The sequence below is a fragment of the Homo sapiens genome, chromosome 3 (genome assembly GCF_000001405.40).
Source record: "Homo sapiens chromosome 3, GRCh38.p14 Primary Assembly".
NCBI lineage: Eukaryota > Metazoa > Chordata > Mammalia > Primates > Hominidae > Homo > Homo sapiens.
In genome coordinates, this window is record NC_000003.12 from 184,482,040 (window position 1) to 184,506,298 (window position 24,259).

General features: G+C 44.3%; 1 long non-coding RNA gene and 1 pseudogene across 1 annotated transcript in view, besides 2 other annotated features; one reads left to right on the forward strand and one right to left on the reverse strand.

The window, feature by feature from the left end:
- Positions 1-24,259, forward strand: part of LINC01839 (long intergenic non-protein coding RNA 1839) — a 76,964-nt gene that overhangs the window by 6,140 nt on the left and 46,565 nt on the right. The window contains exons 2-4 of the long non-coding RNA XR_924788.3: positions 9,192-9,343; positions 21,721-21,848; positions 22,397-23,140. This is a non-coding gene — a long non-coding RNA (long intergenic non-protein coding RNA 1839). The remainder of the gene's footprint in view (positions 1-9,191; positions 9,344-21,720; positions 21,849-22,396; positions 23,141-24,259) is intronic.
- Positions 8,932-9,876: an enhancer, noted in NCBI's record as "H3K27ac-H3K4me1 hESC enhancer chr3:184208759-184209703 (GRCh37/hg19 assembly coordinates)". NCBI's record gives its function as "activates a minimal SCP1, AML or CMV promoter by ChIP-STARR-seq in primed H9 embryonic stem cells {active_cell/tissue: H9 hESC(primed)}" and the evidence as "EXISTENCE:reporter gene assay evidence [ECO:0000049][PMID:30033119]".
- Positions 9,877-10,820: an enhancer, noted in NCBI's record as "H3K27ac-H3K4me1 hESC enhancer chr3:184209704-184210647 (GRCh37/hg19 assembly coordinates)". NCBI's record gives its function as "activates a minimal SCP1, AML or CMV promoter by ChIP-STARR-seq in naive H9 embryonic stem cells {active_cell/tissue: H9 hESC(naive)}" and the evidence as "EXISTENCE:reporter gene assay evidence [ECO:0000049][PMID:30033119]".
- TEDDM3P (transmembrane epididymal protein 3, pseudogene) lies at positions 17,543-18,234 on the reverse strand (annotated as a pseudogene).

Consider the following 24,259-nt stretch of genomic DNA (forward strand, 5'->3'; position numbering starts at 1 on the left):
GTGACTCTCCATAGAGTCCCAAGGTGGCACAGGGCATCTCATAGTGAGGGGGCTGAGCATGCCAGCTCAGATCTCACTTCCTCTTCTTATAAAGCCACCAGTCCCACTCCCATGATAACCCATTAAGCTATGAATAGATTAATCCACCCATGAGGGCAGAGTCCTCATGATCTAATCACCTCTTAAGAGCCCCACCTCTCGATGCTGCCACATTGGGGATTAAGTTTCAACATGAGTTTTGCAGGGGATGTTACTACCATAGCAGCTGGTAAGACCAGGCACTGAGAAAATCGTCCTGTTTCCTCTGGAGTTCCCATCGAGAGCAGCTCCCCGAAGTTGTCTGTGCTATAATGAAAGTCTGAGATCTTAATCTGGCTCTGGAATAGGATAACAGCAGCTGAAGGGGAAAAACCAGTACCTGCCGTCTCCTGCCGGATAGGAGCTGGATGGCAGGACAAGTGGAAACCTGCTGAGGTTCCTTCACTGGGAAGGGAGTGTCATGCAAGAGACACAGAAGCCCCAAAGGGCCCACACGGAGCCACTAATAGCAGGATGGGGGCAGAAGCTTTGGAGACATAAAGACCAGGACTGGATTTTCAACTCCCCCTTTCCCTAGGCATGAAACACTGGAAAATTCACTCAGTCATCTGACACCGGGTACCTCACATAAAAATTAAGATAACAACATCTTACAGAGTGGGCGCTAAAATTAGAGATAATGTTTGCATGAATCACGGTGCTCTAAAAGCTGGCCATCGTCATCATTTTGGTCCGCGCACACACACACACGCACGCACATACACACGCACACATTAAAAAATAGACAGAGAGATAAAGTGAGTGCCTCCGTGGGTCTCCCCGAGGCATGAAGGTGCTGGATTGAATGTGCGTGGAGAATCTCAGGCAATGCTCTTACAGGTAATGGTACTGGGGGCCACGGGCCTTTCAAGGGCCTTAAGATAATGTTTCACACCTCAAATTAAATGATTGACTCAAAATACAAAATAAAAACTCTACAATTAAAATTGATGAAGGCGAAGTCATCTCCAATGCGACAAACTCATAAATGATACTTTATCCTTAGATGTAAACTCTACAAGAGTTATATAGGCTGTAGTATGTTGGTGTCAGAGTTCTAAGCTTTATATTTTGGCTCCACCACTGTGTGGTTCTGGGCAAGTCACTGAACCTCTCTGTGCCTTTTTCCTTATCTGTAAAATGGGAATAATAATAGTGCGTACTTCAAATAGTTATTGTAAAGTACTTAAAATGGTGTCTGGCACATAACAAGCCTGGCTATTATTATATTTATTAGGATGAAGGTGCATTTTAATATGCTTGATATAATTGGGGTAGGGCTTCCAGAAGTAAAAGGGTCTGAGCCTCATAAAGGCCTTAAAACAACTCTGATCACTTCTATGTGACTGTATTTTTATGTAAATCAGGTATAACTCAGATTGTAAACTACAGAGTGTGATTGCATCTTTATAAAAATTAATGGTTCTCTGCAGGATGGTACTGCTCCCAGAGGTATTTTGGAGATTTGCATGGCTTTTTCTTTTGTCATCATGAACAGGGGTTACTGCTGGCATTTAGTTGGGTCAGACTAGTACAACAAAGATTTCTCGTGTGTCCCTCAGGACTTTTATTTATATTTTATTTATTTATTTATTTTGAGACGGAATCTCGCTCTGTCACCCAGGCTGGAGTGCAATGGCGCGATCTCAGCTCACTGCAAACTCCGCCTCCCGGGTTCAAGTGATTCTCTCACCTCAGCCTTCTGAGTAGCTGAGATTACAGGTAGGCGCCACGATGCCCTGCTAATTTTCATATTTTTAGTAGAGACGGGGTTTCGCCCTGTTGGTCAGTCTGGCCTCAAACTCCAGACCTCAAGAGATCTGCCCGCCTCTGCTTTCCAAAGTGCTGGGATTATAGGTGTGAGCCACCGCTCCTGGTTCCTCAGGACTTTTAATACAACAAACCTGACCGGACATGGTGGCTCACGCTGGTAATTTCAGCACTTTGAGAGGCTGAGGTGGGTAGATCACTGGAGGTCAGGAGTTTGAGACCAGCCTAGGCAAAACCCCGTCTCTACTAAACATACAAAAATTAGTTGAGAATGGTGGTGTGTGCCTATAGCCCTAGCTACTCGGGAGGCTGAGGCAGGAGAATCGCTTGAACCTGGGGGGTGGAGGTTGCAGTGACTGAGATCTTGCCACTGCACTCTAGCCTGGGTGACAGAGCAAGACTCTGTCTCAAAAAATAATAAATAAATAAATAAATAAATAAATACAACAAACCTATTTATGACAATCCAATTTAAAATCTAACTGAACCTAGAATTATATAGGTGAAAAACCTGCTTCTAATTATTTGAGCCTAGAACGAATTCCATTTTATAAGTGAATACAAAGTGGGTTTTTTTTGTCAAGGTTTAGTAAGTACTAAATTTCCTAGGAAGCATCAAATGCATACATCAAGGAAATACGGCGCAGTGCTTTATTTGAAAATTTGTCAAGAGTTCACCATTTTGAAAAGTCACGGATGGCGATCCTGCTTATATTATTGGCATCATCTAATTAGTGTCCATTGTAACTGTCCTCTTCATGGCTACTACCTCTACACAGGAATATACTGATTTAGCCTCTATGGCAAAATGTCAAATATGGAGGAAAAGGGTGAGTATTATTCAGCTGAATGTTAAAAACTTGGTTTTTATATCTTCCCACATGTGGAGAGTTGTCAATATGCCTACTCTACACTTCTTTTAAAATAAACAGTGACCACAAGAAGACAGAAAATAAAGATTGTATAAAGAAATACATTTATAAAGTTGGCAGCATATCATACTTCTGAGATTTAAAGAAGTTTGAAACTAGAATAGCCACGGAATGTTAAAGAAAAATCTCTGAGTAGAAGGTAAAGTTGTTGCTAATTCTTTCAGCATAATATAAATGATTGCAGAATATGGTAAGCAGTATAATATTATAGAAAAAACTCAAATTACCAGTGGTTTATAGGTTATTAGAATGATAGGAAAAAATCCAACTGAAATTTTTTTCTTCACTGAATTCTGATGATACTGTTGTAAGAAAAATCAATGAGATGGTGAAACTGGTGAATATCAGCTGTGTAATGAGACCAGTGGAGCACATTTTCGTTACTAGTGGATAAGATCTCCCAGTGGAACGAGGAAGCTCTCCTGTTCACATGGATAAGGTTAAGAAATGAAAAAAGCCACAGTGAAAATTTATTTTCAAAATTACTGGCAATGTATACAAAGGCACTGACAGCATCCAAAACCCTTGGAATGTATTTCACAGAAAAAAGTAATTCCCTTTCCCATTGTCATTATATTGTACGTGCCACAGATTGAGCCTCAACTAGAATTTCTTGGCAACATGGGTTTGTAGGCCATTAAAAAAATTAGCACCAGATGTTTAGCACGTTGAGAAGACAAACATTTTGTGAAAATTGTATGTTATTTTATTTATTTTGAATTCCTTGTTGTTTTTCAAGATTTTCAGTGTTGCAATGATCTGCCTTTGAAGGCTTAACCTCTCTGAGACCTCTTGTAGTCTCTTATTTTACAGTTTCTTCTTCCAACTTAGCCTTTATTCTCCACCACCTGATGAAATAAAATAACCCTAGACCACAATGAAATAAACAGGGTCCAAAACTTCATCACGTAAAATGTACAGTTGCATTCTTTCAATGTTGATTTAAAAAAATGTCTTTCAGGAGGCTTGTACTATCAAAAAAAGGCACAAAGGTAAAAATATTGAAGCATATTATATACAATTATCCATATATCCAACTGAGCAAGTCCCAATTACGTTATTTTATTTCATTTTTATTCATTACTTTTCAACTTTTATTTTCGATTCAGTGGGTACATGTGCAGGTCTGTTACCAGGGTATATTGTACAATGCTGAGGTCTGGGGTAACAATGATCCCGACACGCAGCTACTGAGCATAGTACCCAACAGTTTTTCAACCTTGCCCCACTCTCTCCCTCCCCACTCAGTGGTCCCCAGTGTCTATTATTACCATCTTTATCTCCATGATTACCCAATGTTTAACTCTCACTTATAAGTGAGAACATATGGTACTTGTTTTTCTGTTCCTGCATTCATTTGCTTAGGATAATGACCTCCAGCTGCATCAATGTTGCTGCAAAGAACATGATTTTGTTCTTTTTTATGGCTGCATAGTATTCCTGGGGAGAGAGATATAGTATTTTCCTTTATATTATATATAACATATACATATAGAATATAATATTATGTGTATATAATAATATATAATATCATATATAATTATATTATGTATTATAGAATACATAATATTATATAATATAATTATAATATAATATATTATAATTATAATATAATTCATTTATATATTTTATACACACACACACACACACACACACACACACACACACACACACGTATTTTCTTTATCCAGTCCACTATTGATTGGCATCTAGGTTGATTCCATGTCTTTGCTGTTGTGACAGTGCTGTGATGAACACGTGAGTGCCTGTGTCTTTTTGGTAGAACGATTTTTCTTTTTAATATATACCCAATAATGAGATTGCTGGGTTGAATGGTAACTCTAAGTTCTCTGAGAAACCTCCACACTGCTTTCCACAGTGGCTGAACTAATTTACATTCCCACCAGCAGAGTATAAGCATTCCCTGTTCTCTGCAGCTTTGCTGGCATCTGTTGTTTTTTGATTTTTTAACAAGCCATTTAATAATTGCCATCTGGTGTGAGATGGTATCTCATTGTGGTTTTGACTTGCATTTCTCTGATGATCAGGGATGCAGAGCATTATTTCACATGCTTGTTGGCTGCTTGTATGTCCTCTTTTGAGAAGGGTCTGTTCATGTCTTTTGCCCACTTTTTAATGGGGTTTATTTTTTATTTGTTGAACCATTTAAGTTCCTTATAGATTCCCTCCCTCCCTCCCTTCCCCTGCTTTCTTTTTTAGTTCCTTACTTTTTTTTTTTTTGAGACGGAGTCTAGTTCTTTCCCTCAGGCTGGAGTGCAGTGGCGTGATCTCGGCTCACTGCAAGCTCCACCTCCCGGGTTCACGCCATTCTCCTGCCTCAGCATCCCGAGTAGCTGGGACTACAGGCGCCCACCACCACGCCTGGCTATTTTTGGTAGAGACTGGGTTGCACTGTGTTAGCCAGGATGGTCTCGATCTCCTGACCTGATTATCCGCCCATCTAGGCCTCCCAAAGTGCTGAGATTACAGGTGTGAGCCACCACACCCAGCCTCTTTCTTTCTTCTTTCTTTTTTTCTTCAGGATTTCATTCCTGTTGCCCAGATTGGAGTGCAGTGGCACGATCTCAGCTCACTGCAACATCTGCCTCCTGAGCTCGAGCAATTCTCCTGCCTTAGCCTCCCAAGAGGCTGGTACTACAGGCACGCACCACTGCGCCCAGCTAAGTTTTGTAATTTTTCTAGAGGTGGGGTTTTGCCATGTTGCCCAGGCTGGTCTTGAACTCCTGAGCTCAAGCGATCTGCCTACCAGACCTCCCAAAGCGCTAGGATTACAGGTGTGAGCCACCTGGCCCGGCCAGATTCTGTATATTAGACCTTTGCTGGGTGCATAGCTTGGAAACATTTTCTCCCATTCTGTAGGTTGTCTGTTTACTCTTTAGTTTAATTAGGTTTACTCTTTAGCTAAATTAGAAGCTCTAGTTTAATTAGGTGTCACTTGTCAATTTTTGTTTTTGTTGCAACTGCTTTTGAGGACTTAGTCATAAATTCTTCCCCAAGGCCAATGTCCAAAATGGTGTTTCCTAGGTTTTCTTCTAGGATTCTTATATTTTGAGGTATTACATTTAAATCTTTAATCCAGCTTGAGTTAATTTTTGTATGTAGTGAAAAGTAGGGGTCCAATTTCATTCTTTTGCATATGGCTAACCGGCCATCCAAGCACCATTTATTCAATAGGAAGTCCTTTCCCCATTGCTTATTTTTGTTAACTTTGTTGAAGATCTGATGGTTATAGGTGTGTGGCTTTATTTCTGGATTCTCTATTCTGTTCCATTGGTCTATATGTCTGTTTTTGTACCAGTACCATGATGTTTTGGTTACCGTAGCCTTATAGTTAGTTTGAAGTCAGGTAATATGATGCCTCTGGCTTTGTTCTTTTTGCTTAACGTTGCTTTGGCTATTTGGGCTTTTCATATTATTATTATCACTATTACTAGAGGTAGAGTCTTTCTCTGTTACCCAGGCTGGAGTGCAGTGACACCACCATAGCTCACAGCAGCCTTGAACTTCTGGGCTCAAGCATCATCCCACCTCAGCCTCCTGAGTAGCTGGAACTATAGGTGTGTGCCACCATGCCTGGCTACTTTTTAAAATTTTTTTTTGTGTCAGACTCAGGGAAAAAAGAAAAAATTTTAAAACTAAATATAAGACCAAAATAAAAAAAAGAGAAAACAAATTTTTGTAGAGATGGGGTCTCACTGTGTTTCCCAGGCTGGTCTCGAACTCCTGGCCTCAGGTGATCTTCCCATCTCAACTTCCCAAAGTGCTGGGATTACAGCCATGAACCACTGTGCCTGGCCTCAATTCAGTTACTTCAGAACATGTCCCCTGTGTCCCCTGTTTCCCCCTAGTACTGAGCCTGCACTATTACCTGCAATAGCTGTGCCTGCGATTCTCCTGCCAACATGATCACACACATTCAATCCAGTACCTTCAATGCAACCAGGCAGACCGACGCAGGCACTCACCCTCTCTTTCTGTGTGCGTGCAGACCAAATTGATGGCAATGGCCAGCTTTCAGAGCCCCATAAGCTGTGCATATCCCAAACATTACCTCTAATCGAAGCACCCACCCTGTAGGGTAAGTGTTATTATCCCTTTAGTTTGCTTCAGTTTGAGACTCACGTTTGAGAACTGAGGCAAGGCAAGAACCCGGAGTGCACCTCATCACATGAAAATATGCATTATCTTGTAGGTTACTGAATATGGCCTTCCAGGTCTTTTGAAGTAGCAGGATGCATATCTTGAATGAGTATTGGAATTTCAAAAAGGGAGATAAGATTGCTGAGGTATTTAATCGTTACCTGTTCCACATCATAGAGGGACGTTTTCAACATTACTCTTATAAATGAGGCCAGTGTTATTCTGAGAATATTATTCTTTCTTACTTTTCCTCTTTGACAGACTGTTATTTGCTTGGCATGTTATTCCTGTTTCTATTAAGGTTATTCCCTCTTTGGTTTATAGACTAATGAGCCTGGTATGTTTTTATGTATCTGAACACTAATTTTAATTCTGATGTTAACTGGAACCTCTTGTCTTTCATTCTTCAGTATTTGTGTAAAGAAATGCTTTCAATATTCTTACTTCTAAATCCAAACTGACTCATGCAACCATATGATCTATTATGTATTCTAGTAAAACTGTTCTGGATCATTTACATATGAAGATGCATATTATTTTGTTATGATCATTTCATTTCTCCTTTTATGACAGAGTGTGAGAAAAAGCAGTCCCTGACACCCAAGTTGGCTTGGCACTCACTTGTGGGGTTTTTCTGTTACATGTAAACAATTCCACAGAACACCGGTATTGGATAAGGCCACCCAGATGGGGATGGCTCTAGATAAAAACAAGAACATTCCCTAATCACGTCTGAACATAGACAAAACATGAACATTCTCCAAACCACAGAGATGACCAAACCTCCCCGTATCCTGGCTAATAGGAGTGACTGCTGCTTTTTCACATTGATAGCTTTAGCCTGGCTCTAGTCTTCCCTCCTTCTAGATGAAGTTAATTAAAATACCCAACCATAGAACTGCTCCCACTTCTTGACAGCATCCAATCCAAAGCAAAGCACCGCTTTCACAAATCTTTCCAAAAGCTGCCCCCCAAACCCTAAATCCGATAGTAAGTCCTTTCTAATACCCTCTTACCAAGACATCCTGCATTTCCCCGTGGCGTGCATTCTCCCTCCTTGCAATGTGCAATAAACTGAACTTGTTCAACTGCAAGTGTGTTCCCAAGGGTCTTTGGCTGGGAGGCGTTGATAGATATAATGATGTTTTTGGAATTATGTATACAGATAGATTATATTATCTATGAATTCCATTTCAAGATAGTAAATGGGCTTTGCAAAGCATTTGCTACAAAAAGTGGGTATTGAATTTGGTAGGATCATTGATAACAATTTTCTGATCATGACCCTGCCTAGGGCTAAATCCTAAATCCTGGTAGATTGCTACATTTGCATAGAAATCCTGCTTGTGAAGGTAAGGTTTGCTTGAGGATGCCACTTAAATGATTGGTTAGTATTAAATCACCCCACCCTTCCCATGCCCAAATTGTCCTCAAACTAAATACAGAACAAGCTATTCTGCTTTACAGCTTAAGAAAAATGAGTAGGGAGGGACTGCTCCAGGTCAGTCTTGTCTTCCGGACTCTGGCTTTGATCCCCTTTGTCATATAGGATACTATTGTCTGGGCATTATTAGGTCTTGTTATGCTCATTTAGGACACTCATGTATCCCTATCATTTGTTCTTCAGATGTGTGCTTTTTCTTCTGCCAGCACTTCTGGCATCTCAATCGTGTTGCAGGAACTGTTAAAGTAAATGAGTGGATAAAAGTGTTTTTATGACCTTGCAGAATGAAACTAACATCCTTTCTTACTTTTCAAAAACTAGCTGCTTTAAAAGGGAGGAATAGGCACTTAGGAAATTCTGAGACGCCCCAATGATTAAGATAAATGCTGCTTCATAAATAAAAAAAAAATTAGCTACATATGTAAGCATTGTTTCCCAACGACATACCCTCTCCATCTCGGCATACTTTTGCCACTTGCTGTGCCTGGGTGCATGATGAAGACCAACTTGTCAAAGAAGTGTTGCTTTTAAGAATGTGGGAGGAGGTAGTTTAGATTACTTAGGGCTAATCATTAATATATGATTTAGTAAGTTCATTGTTTATTTTTTATCCAACCATACCTCCACCCCAGGTCCATGAGGGCGGGGACTTTTGATTGGTTTGCTGTTGCCTGTCAAGAGCTTTAAAAATGCGAAATAAATATTTACTCCGTGCACAAATGACTGAATCAGTCCAGCCCTCAGTGATTCATCTGTTTTCCCTCTTCCTTTTCCCATATCGGGTGTGCGAACCTCTGCTCACCAAGTACCAGTCGGGTCCTTCTCCTGCCCACGTGAAGGAAGAAGGCGCAGTGGGGCTGAGGCCTCACTAGGGCACCCACACGGAGCGCTGCGCTCAGCCTTCTGGACCCGGTACCTCCCCAGGCTCTGAGGACAGCAGCAGCCCCAGGACGGACGGGTACGCCAAGTCCTGGGGACCCTCTCCCAAGCTCTGTCAGGGCGGCGGGGTGGCGCGCGCTCCTCCCTCGGGCGCTAGCTCTGGAAATCGCGCTAGGCAGAGGTGGGCTTGTGTCCGCACCCGCAGCCTCCGCGTCAACACCCTAGGGGAGAGGGACGCGGGCAGGGGTGCCGGGCCCAGGCTCCCCAGCCATTCTCAGGCCAGAACCCCCTTTTTAACAAGACATGGCCTTGGTGTGTCGCGGACTCTGCCGGGGACAGTCTGGCAGAACTGGGCTCCTTGCGCTCCCCAGTATACCGGCTAATTCCGTGCCCTTTGCAAACTTCATATTTTGATTTCAAATTTAAAAATAATCAATAGGCCGGGTGCGGTAGCTAGCTCCTGTAATCCCAGCACTTTGGGAGGCCGAGGCGGACAGATCGCCTGAGGTCAGGAGTTCGAGAGCAGCCTGGCCAACACGGTGAAACACCCTCTACTAAAACTACAAAAAAATTGCCGGGCATGGTGGCAGGCGCCTGTAATCCCAGCTACTCGGGAGGCTAAGGCAGGAGAATCGCTTGAACCTGGAGGCGGAGGTTGCAGTGAGCCGAGATCGGGCCACTGCACTCCAGTCTGGGCAACAAAAGCGAAACTCTGTCTCAAATAATAATAATAATAATAATAATAATAATAATAATAATAATAATAATAAACAAATATAAAAATAATCAATAGCATTACCCATATCCTTTCTTTTGTCCGTGGTAAAACAATCAAAAGTATTTTTTAAAAAGTGAAAATGAAGTCTCCCTCCCAGTCCCCACGCCCCCAGGTTCAGTCCGGGGCGCCTGGACAGGTTGGCATTGGAAAGCGTGAGGAAGCAGCCACACCCAGAGCGCACTGCGGCTATCAGAGATGGGGTCTCCGGATCTGCGACTTCCACGAGGCGCTCGCGAGGGGGAAGTTAGGAACTGGTTTCGCAAGGAAGGATGCGGTTGGCACACAGTGCGAGGAGAAAGGGGTTCTTCGGGCTGAGCGCGGGCTCGCTCAGCTCAGCGTCATCAAAGAATTGCAAAGTAGAGAAGAAAGCGGCTGATTACCAAGGACGCCTTGGGCAGTGAGGAAGGGGGAGGGTGAAGGGGAGCCAATATATGTGGGCTCCCAGGGTAGCCAGAAGGCGGCCCTCAGCAGTATCTAGGGAGCGGGAGAGAGGGACAGGGGGTCGGGGGAGAGAGAGGAGGAGAGAAGAGAGAGGGGAGGACGGAGAGAGAGAAACCTGTGAGGATTCAGACCGATGCCTGGGTGAGACTTTGAGGGCTGGGGACCGTGAATATGGCTCGCTAGCCTTCCTGTGGTCCCTTTTGCACTCACAGGCTAGTGAGCAGAGAGGGAACTGGATTTTCTTTTCTTTTCTTTTCTTTTTTTTTTTTTTTTTTGATACGGAGTCTAACTGTGTAGCCCAGGCTGGAGTGCAGTGGCGCGATCTCGGCTCACTGCAAGCTCCGCCTCCCGGGTTCACGCCATTCTCCTGCCTCAGCCTCCCGAGTAGCTGGGACTACAGGCGCCCGCCACCACCCCTGGCTAATTTTTTGTATTTTTAGTAGAGACGGGGTTTCACCATGTTAGCCAGGATGGTCTCGATCTCCTGACCTCGTGATCCACCCGCCTCAGCCTCCCAAAGTGCTGGGATTACAGGCGTGAGCCACCGCGCCCGGCCGGAATTGGATTTTCGATTTCCATCTAGTGTATGATAAGCCCTCAATAACCATGGCGAATGAACTAAATAACTACCTCACATACTCTCATTAGACAGAATAATGCTCAACGTGGTCCCGGGATTAACCTCAGTCCCACCTTAAGATATTGGCAAAATCCTTAGTTGGGTAAGACTCAGGGAAAGTCCTTGTCTTCAGAACATTCATCTCTTCTTTTCATTCATTTTTCCCTTCTTCTTTCTTTCAGCCTGGGTGACAGTCTCACTCTGTCACCCAGGCTGGAGTGCAGTGGCGTCCAGTCCAGTGTATTCTGCAGACAGTGCCAAGGCCAGCACTTGGTTAATGAAGCTTGGGCAACACCATGGGGCAAAGCAGGACCAGTTTCATTAGACTTGAGCAAATCTGCGTTTCCTTCACAGGGTAGGAAAGGAAGGAGGAAGGGAGAAATAAGGAAGGAGCCTTTGCTGTCTACTCCCGGTCCTGAAACAGGGCCAATCTTTAGTATCTGCGTTAAAACATGTTCCTGGCTTTCCTTCTACACCTGGCTGCTTTTTCTTGGTCTGCTCCCAAGTGCCTCTCTTTCCTTTCCCAACTATATGTGGGTGCCTCCCAGAGTTCTAAGCCCTCCTCCTTGCACCCTGTCTCTCGTGGCCTCAACCCATCTCCATGGATTTAATGGCCATTCACTCATGCATGATGCCCGGATTTCCCTCTCTACCCATCCCTTTCTCTGGAGCTCCAGACTCATACATCTAGTTGCTTCCAGAACACCTCAAACTGCATCTCTCCATCCAGAATTCATCTCTTGCTCTCCACCTCCCTGCCCTGGTTTTCATGATCTCAGCGATTGTGTCCACTTTCCTCCCAGCTGCCCAGCCTGTGGCTCCTTCCCCCTCTTGTTCAGCCCACCAGTCTCAAGCCCCGACATCCCGTCAGGAGCCATTTAAATCAGCTCTCCAATGCATGCAATTTCCTCTTTCCCCTTATCTGGCCACCATCACCTGTTAGATTCCACACTGGTTCCTAAGTTTCCAGGTTTGCTCTGCTTCTGGCCTCATTCCACATGAAGCCATATTCCAAAATGGGTATTTGATAATTACTTCAGGATAAGTGCAAAGTTACTTCATGTGGCCCAGAAGGACACTGACCCTTGTCTGCTTTTCCGTGGCACCACTCCCAGCTCAAACACCAAGTTCAGCCATCTCGCTTTTGTTCACATCCTTGAATGTTCATGCTCTCTGTGGTCTGGCAACCTGCTTGTGGCCCTTTCTTTCCCTCTCCCCCAGTTTTTCTCCACTTGGTCTGGCCATACTCATGCTTCAGGCCCCTGTGGAAACATCACTTTTCTCAGATATGTTCCCTGACTTCCAAGTCTGGTTAGCTGGCCCTCGTCACAGCCCTTTTCATACTGCGCTCGGCTTACTGTTTATTTGCCTTTCTCCTCCCACTGGACTATAATCAGCCTAAAGTCAGGGACCCTAGCATCTGGGTCACTTCATTATTCTCAGGGCCTAGCATGGAGTCTGGCATATAATAGATGCTTAATAAATATTGAATACCTACTTAGATGAATAAAGGGAAGAATTGAATTGCTGGAAATAAATGAAGATCAACCAAATGAGAACAAGCAAAGACGATTGATTCAGAGCTTGCTATAGCAAGGGAGTTGGCCACCATCACTTGTGTTTTGACAGAGAATCCAAAGCAGGTAGAGGAGTGGGAAAGCTTTATAGTGGAAAAAAGGGAAAGGCTTCATGTATGCCCTGGTTGAGGCTGTTGGCCTCTAAATATTATTTTTTAATCTTTAAAAATAAGTGTCACTGGCCGGGCGTGGTGGCTCACGCCTGTAATTACAGCATGCTGGGAGGCTGAGGCTGGCAGATCACCTGAGGTCAAGACGTCGGGACCAGTCTGGCCAATATGGAGAAACCCCATTTCTACTAAAAATATAAAATTAGCCAGGCATGGTGGTGCATGCCTGTAATCCCAGCTACTCAGGAGGCTGAGGCAGAAGAATCGCTTGAACCCAGGAGGCAGAGGTTACGGTGAGCCAAGATCGCACCATTGCACTCCAGCCTGGGCAACATGAGTGAAACTCCATCTCAAAAATAAATAAATAAGTAAGTAAGTGTCACTTACCTGCACACCCAGCACTCTCTCTCGCACTAGGGAGAATATGTAAGGGAAGAGGTCCATATAGTATTATACAGTCAGAACTGCAGTTAGAACTTATAGTGATTAAATTCCCTTTTTTTTTTTTTTTTTTTGAGACAGAGTCTCGCTCTGTTGCCCAGGCTGGAGTGCAGCAATCTCGGCTTACTGCAACCTCCGCCTCCAGGGTTCTGCCTCAGCCTCCCGAGTAGCTGGGATTACAGGCACCTGCCACCACACTGGGCCTTTTTTTTTTTTTTTTTTTTGTATTTTTAGTAGAGATGGGATTTTACCTTCTTGGCCAGGCTGATCTTGAACTCCTGACCTCTTGATCTACAAGCCTCTGCCTCCCATAGTGCTGGAATTACAAGCATGAGCCACCATGCCTGGCCTTAAGTTCCTTTAAAGTGAAGTTATTGGCCGGGCACGGTGGTTCACACATGTAATCCCAGCACTTTGGGAGGCTGACGTGGGTGGATCACCTGAGGTCAGGAGTTTGAGACCAGCCTGGCCAACATGGTGAAACCCCATCTCTACTAAAAATACAAAAATTAGCCAGGTGTGGTGGTGGGTGCCTATAATTCCAGCTACTCAGGAGGCTGAGGCAGGAGAATCGCTTGAACGCGGGAAGCAGAGGTTGTGGTGAGCCCAGATCTTGCCACTGCACTCCAGCCTGGGTGATGGAGTGAGACTCCATCTCAAAAATAAATAAATAAGTAAAAATGAATTATTATTATTATTATGGAAGGGCTCCAAAAATCACGACAAATACAATTGATGGAAATCATGCCGGAGTGGTCATACTCCAATATGCAGGATATGAAGGATAATTTTATGTGTCAACTTGTCTAGGCTCTGGCACCCAATTGTTTGGTGAAACATCAGTCTAGATGTTGCCATAAAGGTATTTTTGGGTTATAATTAATGTTTAAATCAGTAGACTTTGAGTAAGCCTATTACCCTCTATAATGTGCATGGGTCTCATGCAGTCAGTTGAAGGCCTTAGAGAAAAGATAAGGTCTCCTAAGGAAGAAGGGATTCTGCCTCCAGACTGCCTTCAGACTCAAGACTGCAACATCACCCTTCACTGTTCTCCCATCCGCTGGCCTGCCCTGCAGATTTTGGACTTGCCAGCCCCAACAATCGCATGAGATGGTTCCTTAAGATCCCTATTAACTACCAGCAATTGCATGAGCCTGCCCCTTAAAATCCCTGTTGTCTATCTACTCATCCATTCATCTATCTACACATCCTGTTGGTTTTGTTTCTCTGAAAAACCCTAATACACTGGGCAAGGGCCAGATGTGCAGACAAAAATTCTCCCCACAACAGCACAAGTGAGTGTATGCAGGACTAACCTCTTTACCTCACTCCCACCTTTCCCTCTAGTCTTCTGCAACTCTAATTCCTCTTTATCAATTCAGACCTAGGATCATATAACACTTATTCACATTTTTTGTCAGAGGGATTATACTATAGCCGTTGATTTTCAGCCAGTGTTTGAGGTCATTAACGTTATAAGTATCTTGTTTTCAAGTTGAAGAAGGAAGGATTCTCTAACAAAGAATGTTCCATGAACAGGTGAAGGGATGTGTTTATCATAAAGCATCCTGAAGTATATCTGTGGTAAGCCTCCAGGGTGAGGGCAGAGCCAGGCTTTGTGAGGCCGAATGCTTACACAATTTAAAGGACCCTCTTTAGGAAAAAAGAATACACAAAAATAGTACATTTGCAAATTCTCAGTGATATGCGGATCATGCGAACACCTTGCTAAAGCCTCTCCCAGGGCCTTGGACAGGATGAGTAAGGTGAAGGGCCTTGAAGCTTAAACTTAATTAGTTCCGGTATATCTGGCTCTGCTTCAGGGCTTTTTGGGGTGGGGAGAGAAAGACAGGTGCTGGCCTCTCCCTGGGTTGGTTCTTCCTCCTCTGGGGAGGAAAGTTGGGGCTGGCCTGGTTCCAGCTGCTTGAGAGACACATTTGTTTTCCTCTAAGATCCAGAGTCTTCCCTCCCATCCAAGCCCTGCCAGTGTGAGTGGCCAGATTTTTGGCTCCTTCTTTATCCCTTTCCCTTCTCCCCTTCTCTAATATCAACCCCTTGTCCCAGAGTCTCCACGGCCTGTTTTCTGTGCTCTTGTGTACTGCTTCTTTAGAGTGCACCCAATTGTCTTGTCCCTTCTTTTCTTTTCTTTCTTCCTCCCTCCCTCCCTCCCCCCCTTCTTTCCTTCCTCTCTCTCTCTCTCTCATTTATTTATTTATTTATTTATTTATTTATTTATTTATTTATTTTTGAGTCAGGGTCTCACTCTTTCACCCAGGCTGGAGTGTACTGGCATGATTACGACTCACTGCAGCCTCTACCTCCCAAGCTCAAGTGATCCTCCCACCTCAGCCTCCTGAGTAGCTGGGACCACAGGTCTGTGCCACCACACCTGGCTATTTTTTTTTTTGTATGTTTTTAGAGACAGGGTTTTGCCATATTGTCCAGGCTGGTCTCAAACTCCTGACCTCAAGAGATCTGCCCACCTCTGCCTCCCAAAGTGCTGGGATTATAGGTGTGAGCCACTGCGCCTGGTCTACACCGATTCTTTAGAGTGCATCCAATGATATTTTCAAATAACAGTGTGCAGTCTGTCTTGTCTGCCATCCTGCAAACCTCTCTGTGCTTCTTGAAGCTTCTCATGGTCTGAGGAGAGCATTCCAGGCTGCACACGGGGTGTTGTAATTGCAGCAGCTTCATCATGGGGACTTTTCTCTATGGTTCTTTCTCCACATCTATGGCCAGCATCTCTTTTCTTTTTGCCTCTTCAGATTTCTAAATGCTGGGTGTGTCCATCTCACTTAAGCTGACTCATACTATTAGAAGCAATGGCTTCCTAACTGTACCCAGAGATATGTAATTTTATATAATTTGCTTTCATATATTTCACCAAATATGTGAATTTATTAGCATCCCATTCTGAGAGAAGACCAAAGATCTGAAAATATTCCTGCACATTCCAGGGGACTGACACCCTCAGATTCTCTCTCAGCTCTGAGTTCCTGTGTCTTCAGAAGCACTGAGATCACTTGCACCCCATTTCATGGCAATTCTTTCCCCCTCCTCCGTGTTCTTTTCCTGTCAATTGAGATATGGGCTCTTTCTCTGGCTTCCCTCAGAATCACTCACATGAGACGTGTACACATGTAATAGACTTTACTGAATGAGTTGGAACAATGGAGTTGTTTTGTATCACAGAAAAACACAAACAATTTAAAATCATATTTAAATCACCTTCATTTCTGACAAGCAGCTTTGGAATTCCTCCGTGGCCTCCTTTCTCCCTCTTCTTGATCCCCTGCTAAATTGATTGGAACCACACCCCCCTGCAACTGCCCAAGCTTCTCATTCCTTCCTCTCTCATAAGGCAGAAGTGGCCTCATTTAGTTTAGGTTTAAAACACAAAAAATGGCCGGGTGCGGTGGCTCATGCCTGTAATCCCAGCACTTTGGCAGGCTGAGGTGGGAGGATCGCCTGAGGTCAGGAGTTTGAGACCAGCCTGGCCAACGTGTTGAAACCCCGTCTCTACTAAAAATGCAAAAATTAGCTGGGCATGGTGGTGGGTGCCTGTAGTCCCAGCTACTCAGGAGGCTGAGGCAGGAGAATTGCTTGAACCTAGGAGACGGAGGTTGCAGTGAGCCGAGACCAAGTCACTGCACTCCAGCCTGGGTGACAGAGTGAGACTCCATCTCGAAAACAAACAAAAAACAAACATGAAAATTCCTCATACTGCCATACTGAGAGTGAATAAAAAACAGAGAAATTGAGAAAACAGAAGACTTCACCATTATGGAAAAACGGACCCCCTGTCTTTCACACATTGAGAGACTTCATTTGCAGGCATACCCGTGCATACCGTAGTCCTGCCCCATCTAAGAAATATGGTGTCTACGGGCGCTCTTTCCTCTCTGTCTACTTCCTCAATTCATTTCCTCCTCTTGGATCCTGAAAACTGCCAGAAAAAAGCAGCACTCCTGTTCTCATTTCATGTATGTGCTTGGCCAGAATAATGAGAGAGAAAAGAGACAGACCTGGAGAGAAGAGAATGATGGATGAGAAGTTACCCCAGGGGCTGGCAGGTTTATTTGGGAACGAGAAAGATGGCTCCCGAGATAGAAGCTAGCCTGTGAATTCTAAGGCATTTCCATGCTATGCGTGCTGTGGGCACCCTTGAAACTCTCATTACAAAAGGCATAGAACAAAGACAGTTTCTGTACCTAGACGCCTCCATCCAGCAGCACAGCCTCTGCCCTGAGCTTCTCAAGCTCTTCACCACTGGAATTGGTGAGGCACGGCTAGTACCTGGCCCCTGGTAACGCTGTCCAGGAGGAGCAGTGACGGTGCCAGAGGCTGCAGAGGCCATAGACAGCAGCCAGCACGGCAGCCCCCAAGCCCAGGTGCCAGGAGAAGAAGCGAGTGAGGAAGGCAAGGTCCATGGGGTTCTCCACCTGCAGGGCTGTCCGGAGGGAGGCGCAAACATCAGCACACACAGCTGCAGCATCCAGTTGCTGAGCCCCAGCCCCACCCAGGTCTTGAGCACCCAGAGCTGGGGCTGGTCAGGGACCCAGACCTTGATGGTGAGCACCAGGGAGACCAGGAAGGGGGGCACGCTGAAGAGCTCACGCACACGGATCTCCAGGGTGCCCTTGTTCTCAATGTGGGCTGCCATCAGTAGTGCCAGCACATAGGAGCCCAAGGCCTTGACTGCTTGCTCTAGCTTCATATTCTACCATTCCTGACACGACTGGCTTACAATGTCCACCACGCCAGTGAGCATAAAGAACTCGTACATGGTGATGTGCTGCCAGCTGTCCTTGAACACGAATGGCCACCGCGGATCCTCCCAGTCTACCACCATCAGCCGATTTACTCCAGACGGGTAGAATAACTTGGGTAAGATGCCAGCCAGGGTGATGACCACCTTCACCACACCTTCTAGTGGCACCAGCTACCACCACCTGTGTCCTCACTTCTCCCTGGAGGGCAGAGGGAGTTTGAGGAGCCTCTGTTCCTGTAGCAGGGCCAGAGACACCAGCACCATATAGTAGAGTGAGTAGAGAAGGAAGAACATTGCTGGCAGCAGGTGTCCCTCGAGGGTGCCCATGGCTTTAGTGTGTGTGTTGGGGCCAACGGGGCGAGAGCTGGTAGATGAGCAGCAACCTCACACACACATGACCGGCATCCTCACAGGCAGGAGTGGCTGCCTCTGAACCACGGAGAGATCATGCTGACGAGCCCCACCCCTGCCTCCCACACACAGAAAGGAATAGGTCTTGTTGCAGAAACCTGAGCCACACCCCAGGGTGGGACGCCTTTAAGAGGGTCCTCCAGGGTGGGACCGCTGCAGCCACCTTGCTCTGCTCCTTACTTAAATCGGCTAGGCCCAGCATTTCAATCTGTGCACCTCACTGCAGATGTCAGTTTCACAGATGCTGATTCAGCGTTTCTTTCACCAGCCCCTCTGCCACAGCGCCCTACCCCTGCAGAGAGGAAACAAAGAGAGTGAAGGAGCTCCAGCAAAGAGGAGTAGGGCTGACTCTCAGGCTGACTTTTCTCTCAGTGCTTGGCACAGTACATACTTTTCTCTCATTTAACAACTCTATGAGGGAGGTGTTATTAGGTGAAATTTTACAAGTGAAATGAAGGTCCAGAGCGGTGCAGAGACATGCACAAAGTGGTCCATCTGCCAGCTGGCACAGCAGAGCCAGGACGTGGACCCGGGTCTGCTCATCCAACAAAGCCTGAAGTTTATGCACAGCAAAACTACTGACATTCACTTCCAACCCCGTAATCATGACTGTGGGGAATTTACTTGGTCTTCTTGAGTCTCAGCTTCCTGATGTGTAGAATGGGAATAATAATTACTTCATAGATTTGTTATGAGAATTAAATGGGATTATATATAAAGTGTCTGATACATAGTGAATAATGATGGTGATTATGAATAATTTAGCTTTTTTTTTTTTTTTTTGAGATGGAGTCTGGCTCTGTCACCCAGGCTGGAGTGCAGTGGCACGATCTTGGCTCACTGCAAGCTCCGCTTCTTGGGTTCACACCATTCTCCTGCCTCAGCCTCCTGAGTAGCTGGGACTACAGACGCCCGCCACCGTGCCCAGCTAATTTTTGTATTTTTAGTAGAGACGGGGTTTCACCGTGTTAGCCAGGATGGTCTCGACCTCCTGACCTCTTGATCCCCCCACCTCGGCCTCCCAAAGTGTTGGGATTACAGGCGTGAGCCACTGCGCCCGGCCCTCCTATTGTTATTACTAGCAGTCCTTGCTAAATTTCTATGATCCTGAAGTTTTTAAAGTATTTCTTTGAATGATACCAAAGCAAGAGTCATAAAGAAAAACAGTAACATATTTAATTATATTAAAAATTGTAAGTTATTTATTAATAAAAATTAAACATGTACTGATTAAAATTACAGTTTAAAATTTTCAAAAGAAAAACAAAATAAAATTGTGCCCCATATGTAAGAAAGTGTTAGTCTCCTTACAACATAGAAAGCACTTACAAAGAAAAAAGTTAAAAATATGGCCAGGTGCCGTGGCTCACACCTGTAACACCAGCACTTTGGGAGGCCAAGGAGGGCAGACCGCTAGGTCAGGTATTCGAGACTAGCATGGCCAACATGGTCAAATCTTGTCTCTACTAAAAATACAAAAATTAGCCAGGCATGGTGGTGCGTGCCTATTATCTCAGCTACTTGGGAGGCTGAGGCAGGAGAATTGCTTGAACCCAGGAGGCAGAAGTTGCAGTGAGCTGAGATCATGCCACTGCACTACAGCCTAGGTGACAGAGCAAGACTCCATTTAAAAAATAATAAAAAATAAAAAATAAATAAACACCTCAGGAGAAAAATGGACAAAGGACAGAAAGTGGCTATTCGTGCCAAGGGAACTATAGATGCCTCATAAACATGAAAGGCAAAAAAATTGGGGGCTGTAGCATTCTTGGTTGACAGGCTTTCCTTTTTCTTTTAGCACTTTGAATATATCAGCCCCCTGCCTTCCGGTCTCCAAACTTTCTGATGAGAAATCTGCTAGTAATCTTATTGAGGATCCCTTGTATATGACAAGTGGCTTCCCTCTTGCTGCTTTCAAGAGTCGCTCTTTGTCTTTGTCTTTTGATGGTTTAATGATGATGTACCTTAATGTAGATCTCTAAGTTCATCCTACTTGTTGAACTTCTTAGATATTTATGTTCATGTCTTTCATCAAATTTGGAATGTTTTCAGCTATTTCCTTAAATACTCTCTCTGCCCTTCTCTCTCTCTTCTCCACTGGCTGCGGCAAGGACTTTTCATTAACACAGAGACATAGAATTGCTGCTACAGAGGAGGTAGAGAGGTGTGGCTGAAATCCAGAGGAGGTAGATAGGTGTGGCTGAAATCCAGAGGAGACAGAGGGGTGTGGCTGAAATCCAGAGGAGGTAGAGAGGCGTGGATGAAATCCAGAGGAGGTAGAGAGGTGTGGCTGAAATCCAGAGGAGACAGAGGGGTGTGGCTGAAATCCAGAGGAGGTAGAGAGGCGTGGATGAAATCCAGAGGAGGTAGATAGGTGTGGCCAAAATCCAGAGGAGACAGAGGGGTGTGGCTGAAATCCAGAGGAGGTAGAGAGGCGTGGATGAAATCCAGAGGAGGTAGAGAGGTGTGGCTGAAATCCAGAGGAGGTAGAGAGGCGTGACTGAAATCCAGAGGAGGTAGAGAGGCGTGGATGAAATCCAGAGGAGGTAGAGAGGTGTGGCTGAAATCCAGAGGACGTAGAGAGGTGTGGCTGAAATCCAGAGGAGGTAGAGAGGTGTGGCCAAAATCCAGAGGAGGTAGAGAGGTGTGGCTGAAATCCAGAGGAGGTAGAGAGGTGTGGCCGAAATCCAGAGGAGGCAGAGGGGTGTGGCCGAAATCCAGGTGCTTCACCAGGTTGTTTTCTTAGGCTTGGGTCCAGTGGTAGTTAAAGAAAGACACTTCCATAATCCTAAGTAGGCATGATCACTAAAGGATATTTGATTTATTTATTTATTCAATAATAAAACTTCCAAATTCCAGACATTTTTCTAGGCCCCGAGGATACAATAATGAAAAAGACAGGGAAGAAACAAATAAATGCACAATTAAAAAAGAAAAAATGATAGAGAATGATAAATAATAATGGCAAACTCCCTCCTCCCTGCCAAAAAATACTTAAATTAAGGCTATTGAAATAGCGAGTAGCTCTTTCAGATTGAACCATCAGAGACGATGTCTAAGAAAGTAACATTTAATCCAAGATTAAATTAGCATTAGAGGCCAGCCATACCATATCCGACTGCATGTGTGAGTCACTCCATCACATAAAAAACAAAGGAGGAGCTCAATAAAAGCCAAGACCCTGATAACCTCTGTTGATGGAATATGTTATTTTTAATATTTTCAGTGTTTTGGTCTGTTTTGTGCTGCTATAACAGAATGCCTGAGACTGGGTAATTTATAAAGAACAGAAATTTATTTCTTAGAGTTCTTCGGGCTGGGAAGTCCAAGATCAAGGCACTACCATGTGATGCAGGCAGAAGGTGGAAGGACAAAAGGGAAGAAACCTCATGTCCCCACATGGTGGAAAAGCAGAAGTGCAAGAGAGAACCAGGTTTTTCTGTCAAGCACCTTTATAAGGATTCTTAATCCCATTCATGAGGAGTATCACGGACTAGTCACCTCTTAAAGGCCCCATCTCTTAATACTATCACACTGGCAAAAGCTGAATTTTGGAGGGGACACATTCAAATCATAACATTCAGTAATTGTCTTCCTAGCCAGAATCTGATTTTGTTTTTTGCCATGATGAACCATAGTGGGGCACTCCAGGTAATAAGGCAATGGGGTAATGTATCTTTCCTTATCCATCTTTTTCTGCATTTTGCAATGAATAAGTATTACCTTTGTAATTAGGGACTATGTGAAAACTTGAAATCAATGACACAATTATTTAATGCATGGAGAAGTAAGTAGGATATGAAGACACCAAAATGTGGCAATTTCTGTCTACGCTTTTTTGTATTTTTCAAATGTTCTGAAACTTTATTAATTTTATTTTTATGGTAAAATTATTAATATGAAACTCTTTATAAGAGCTCTTCTCAGTCATCAAAGTATTTCTTTTCTTTTTACTTTTTTTTTTTTTTTTTTTTGAGACAGGATCTTACTTTGTCACCCAGGCTGGAATGCAGTGGCCCAATCATGGCTTACTGCAGCCTCGACCTCCTGCACTCAAGCGATCCTCCCACCTCAGCGTCTGGAGTAGCTGGGACCACAGGCGTGTGCCATCACACCTTACAAATTTTTGTGTATTTTGTACAGATGGGGCTTCACCATGTTGCTCAGGCTGGTCTCAAACTCCTGGGCTAAAACAATCTGTCTGCCTCAGCCTTCCAAAGTGCTGAGATTACAGGCATGAGCCACAGTGCCTGGCCAAAGTATTTCTTTATACATGTGTCTTTATGTGTATGATTATTTATATACCTATATATATAATACTGACAACTGTTAAAGATACCAAAAAGCACAAAGACGAGTAAAAAGAGTGAATATAACACAACAAATGCCAACTCAGAGAGAACAAGTGTTAACATTTTGTCCTGCTTGTTTCCAGGGTTTTAAAAAACTAAGTAAATAAAACATTCAAATTCTTCTGATCCCATTCCCATACCTCCCTTCCTCCACTGGGAGAACCAATATCATGATTTGGTGTGGATCTTTCTTATCATTTTGTCACTTTGTATACATTTGCCTGTCTCTTTATCTGTTTATCTACCTACCTATCTATCTGCCTATCATCTATCTATCTGATCATTCTCTGTATATTTCTAATTCTGCAGAAAGAAGGAACAGAAGGAGCTCTTGCTTGAGTAAGGCACTGGTCATGCCTCAATTAGAACCCATGTAAGTGAAGTTCCTTTGTAATGAAGTCAGTGCAGTTAAATGAAAAAAAGTTGGGGGGGGGGCGAAATTCAAGAATCATGCAAAAATACAGTTGATGGGAACCATATGTCCGAGTGGCCGCATTCCAATGAACAAGGCAAATCCACAGATGTGCTGGTCGTAAATTCCTCCCAAATCCTATTGTGTCCACAAGGTAACTAAAGGTAAATAGGACTAACCTTTATCACTGCTCCCTAAAAAGCGGCCATGGGTCCCAGTGTGTCTGTCTCTCCCCATCTCCCAAATCAGCAGTCACTTACCATCTGCTACTCTGAGCCCTCCCAGTTTCCAGAAGGAGACAGTGTCTCATAATAATCACTTACCCCTCTTGACTGGTAGATTAATCTTTAGCACATGAGTTTCAGTCGCTGTGATACCCGAATACGTCATTTTAAGCCTCTCATCTCCAGTTGAAGAAGGAGAACCCTTAGCTTTACCCACAGCTAAAGGAATCTGGGGAATCAGCCAGCAGGTGCTGAGGTGTGTTTGTCATGGGGGAGGGGTTCTTGAGTGCAAATCTGATTTAGATCTTCTGACCCATGGGTGCCCATTAGAATCACCGGTGAGCTTTTAAAAATAACAGCAATTACTTGGGCTTTCCCCCCAGAAATTCTGATTTAATTAGCTTGGGGTTGGGCTTGGGCATTCATGCTTTTAAAACTTCCCCTGCAGACACTAAAGGAAAAATACTGTATGATTCCATTTATATAGGGTACCCAGAGTAGTCAAATTCATAGAGGAAGAAAATAGATTGGTGGTTGCCAGGGGGCTGAGTAGAAGGGAGTGAATTGTGGCCTAATGTACAGAGTTTCAGTCTGGGAAGATGGAAGAGTTCTGAAGACGGACGATGATGATGATTGCACAGCAATGGTGATGTATTTAATGCCAATGAACTGTATACCTAATAGTGGTAAAAGTGGTCAGTTTTATGTCACATATATTTCACCACACTAAACAAAGTGAAGTATGTAAGCTCCTGTGGTGATTCTACTGTGAAATCCTGTCCAGAGCTGCCTTATACTACCTGTGATGACTGTTGAAAGGGAGGGTCCTCTTGATGAGTTGGGTCCTCCTTCTTCC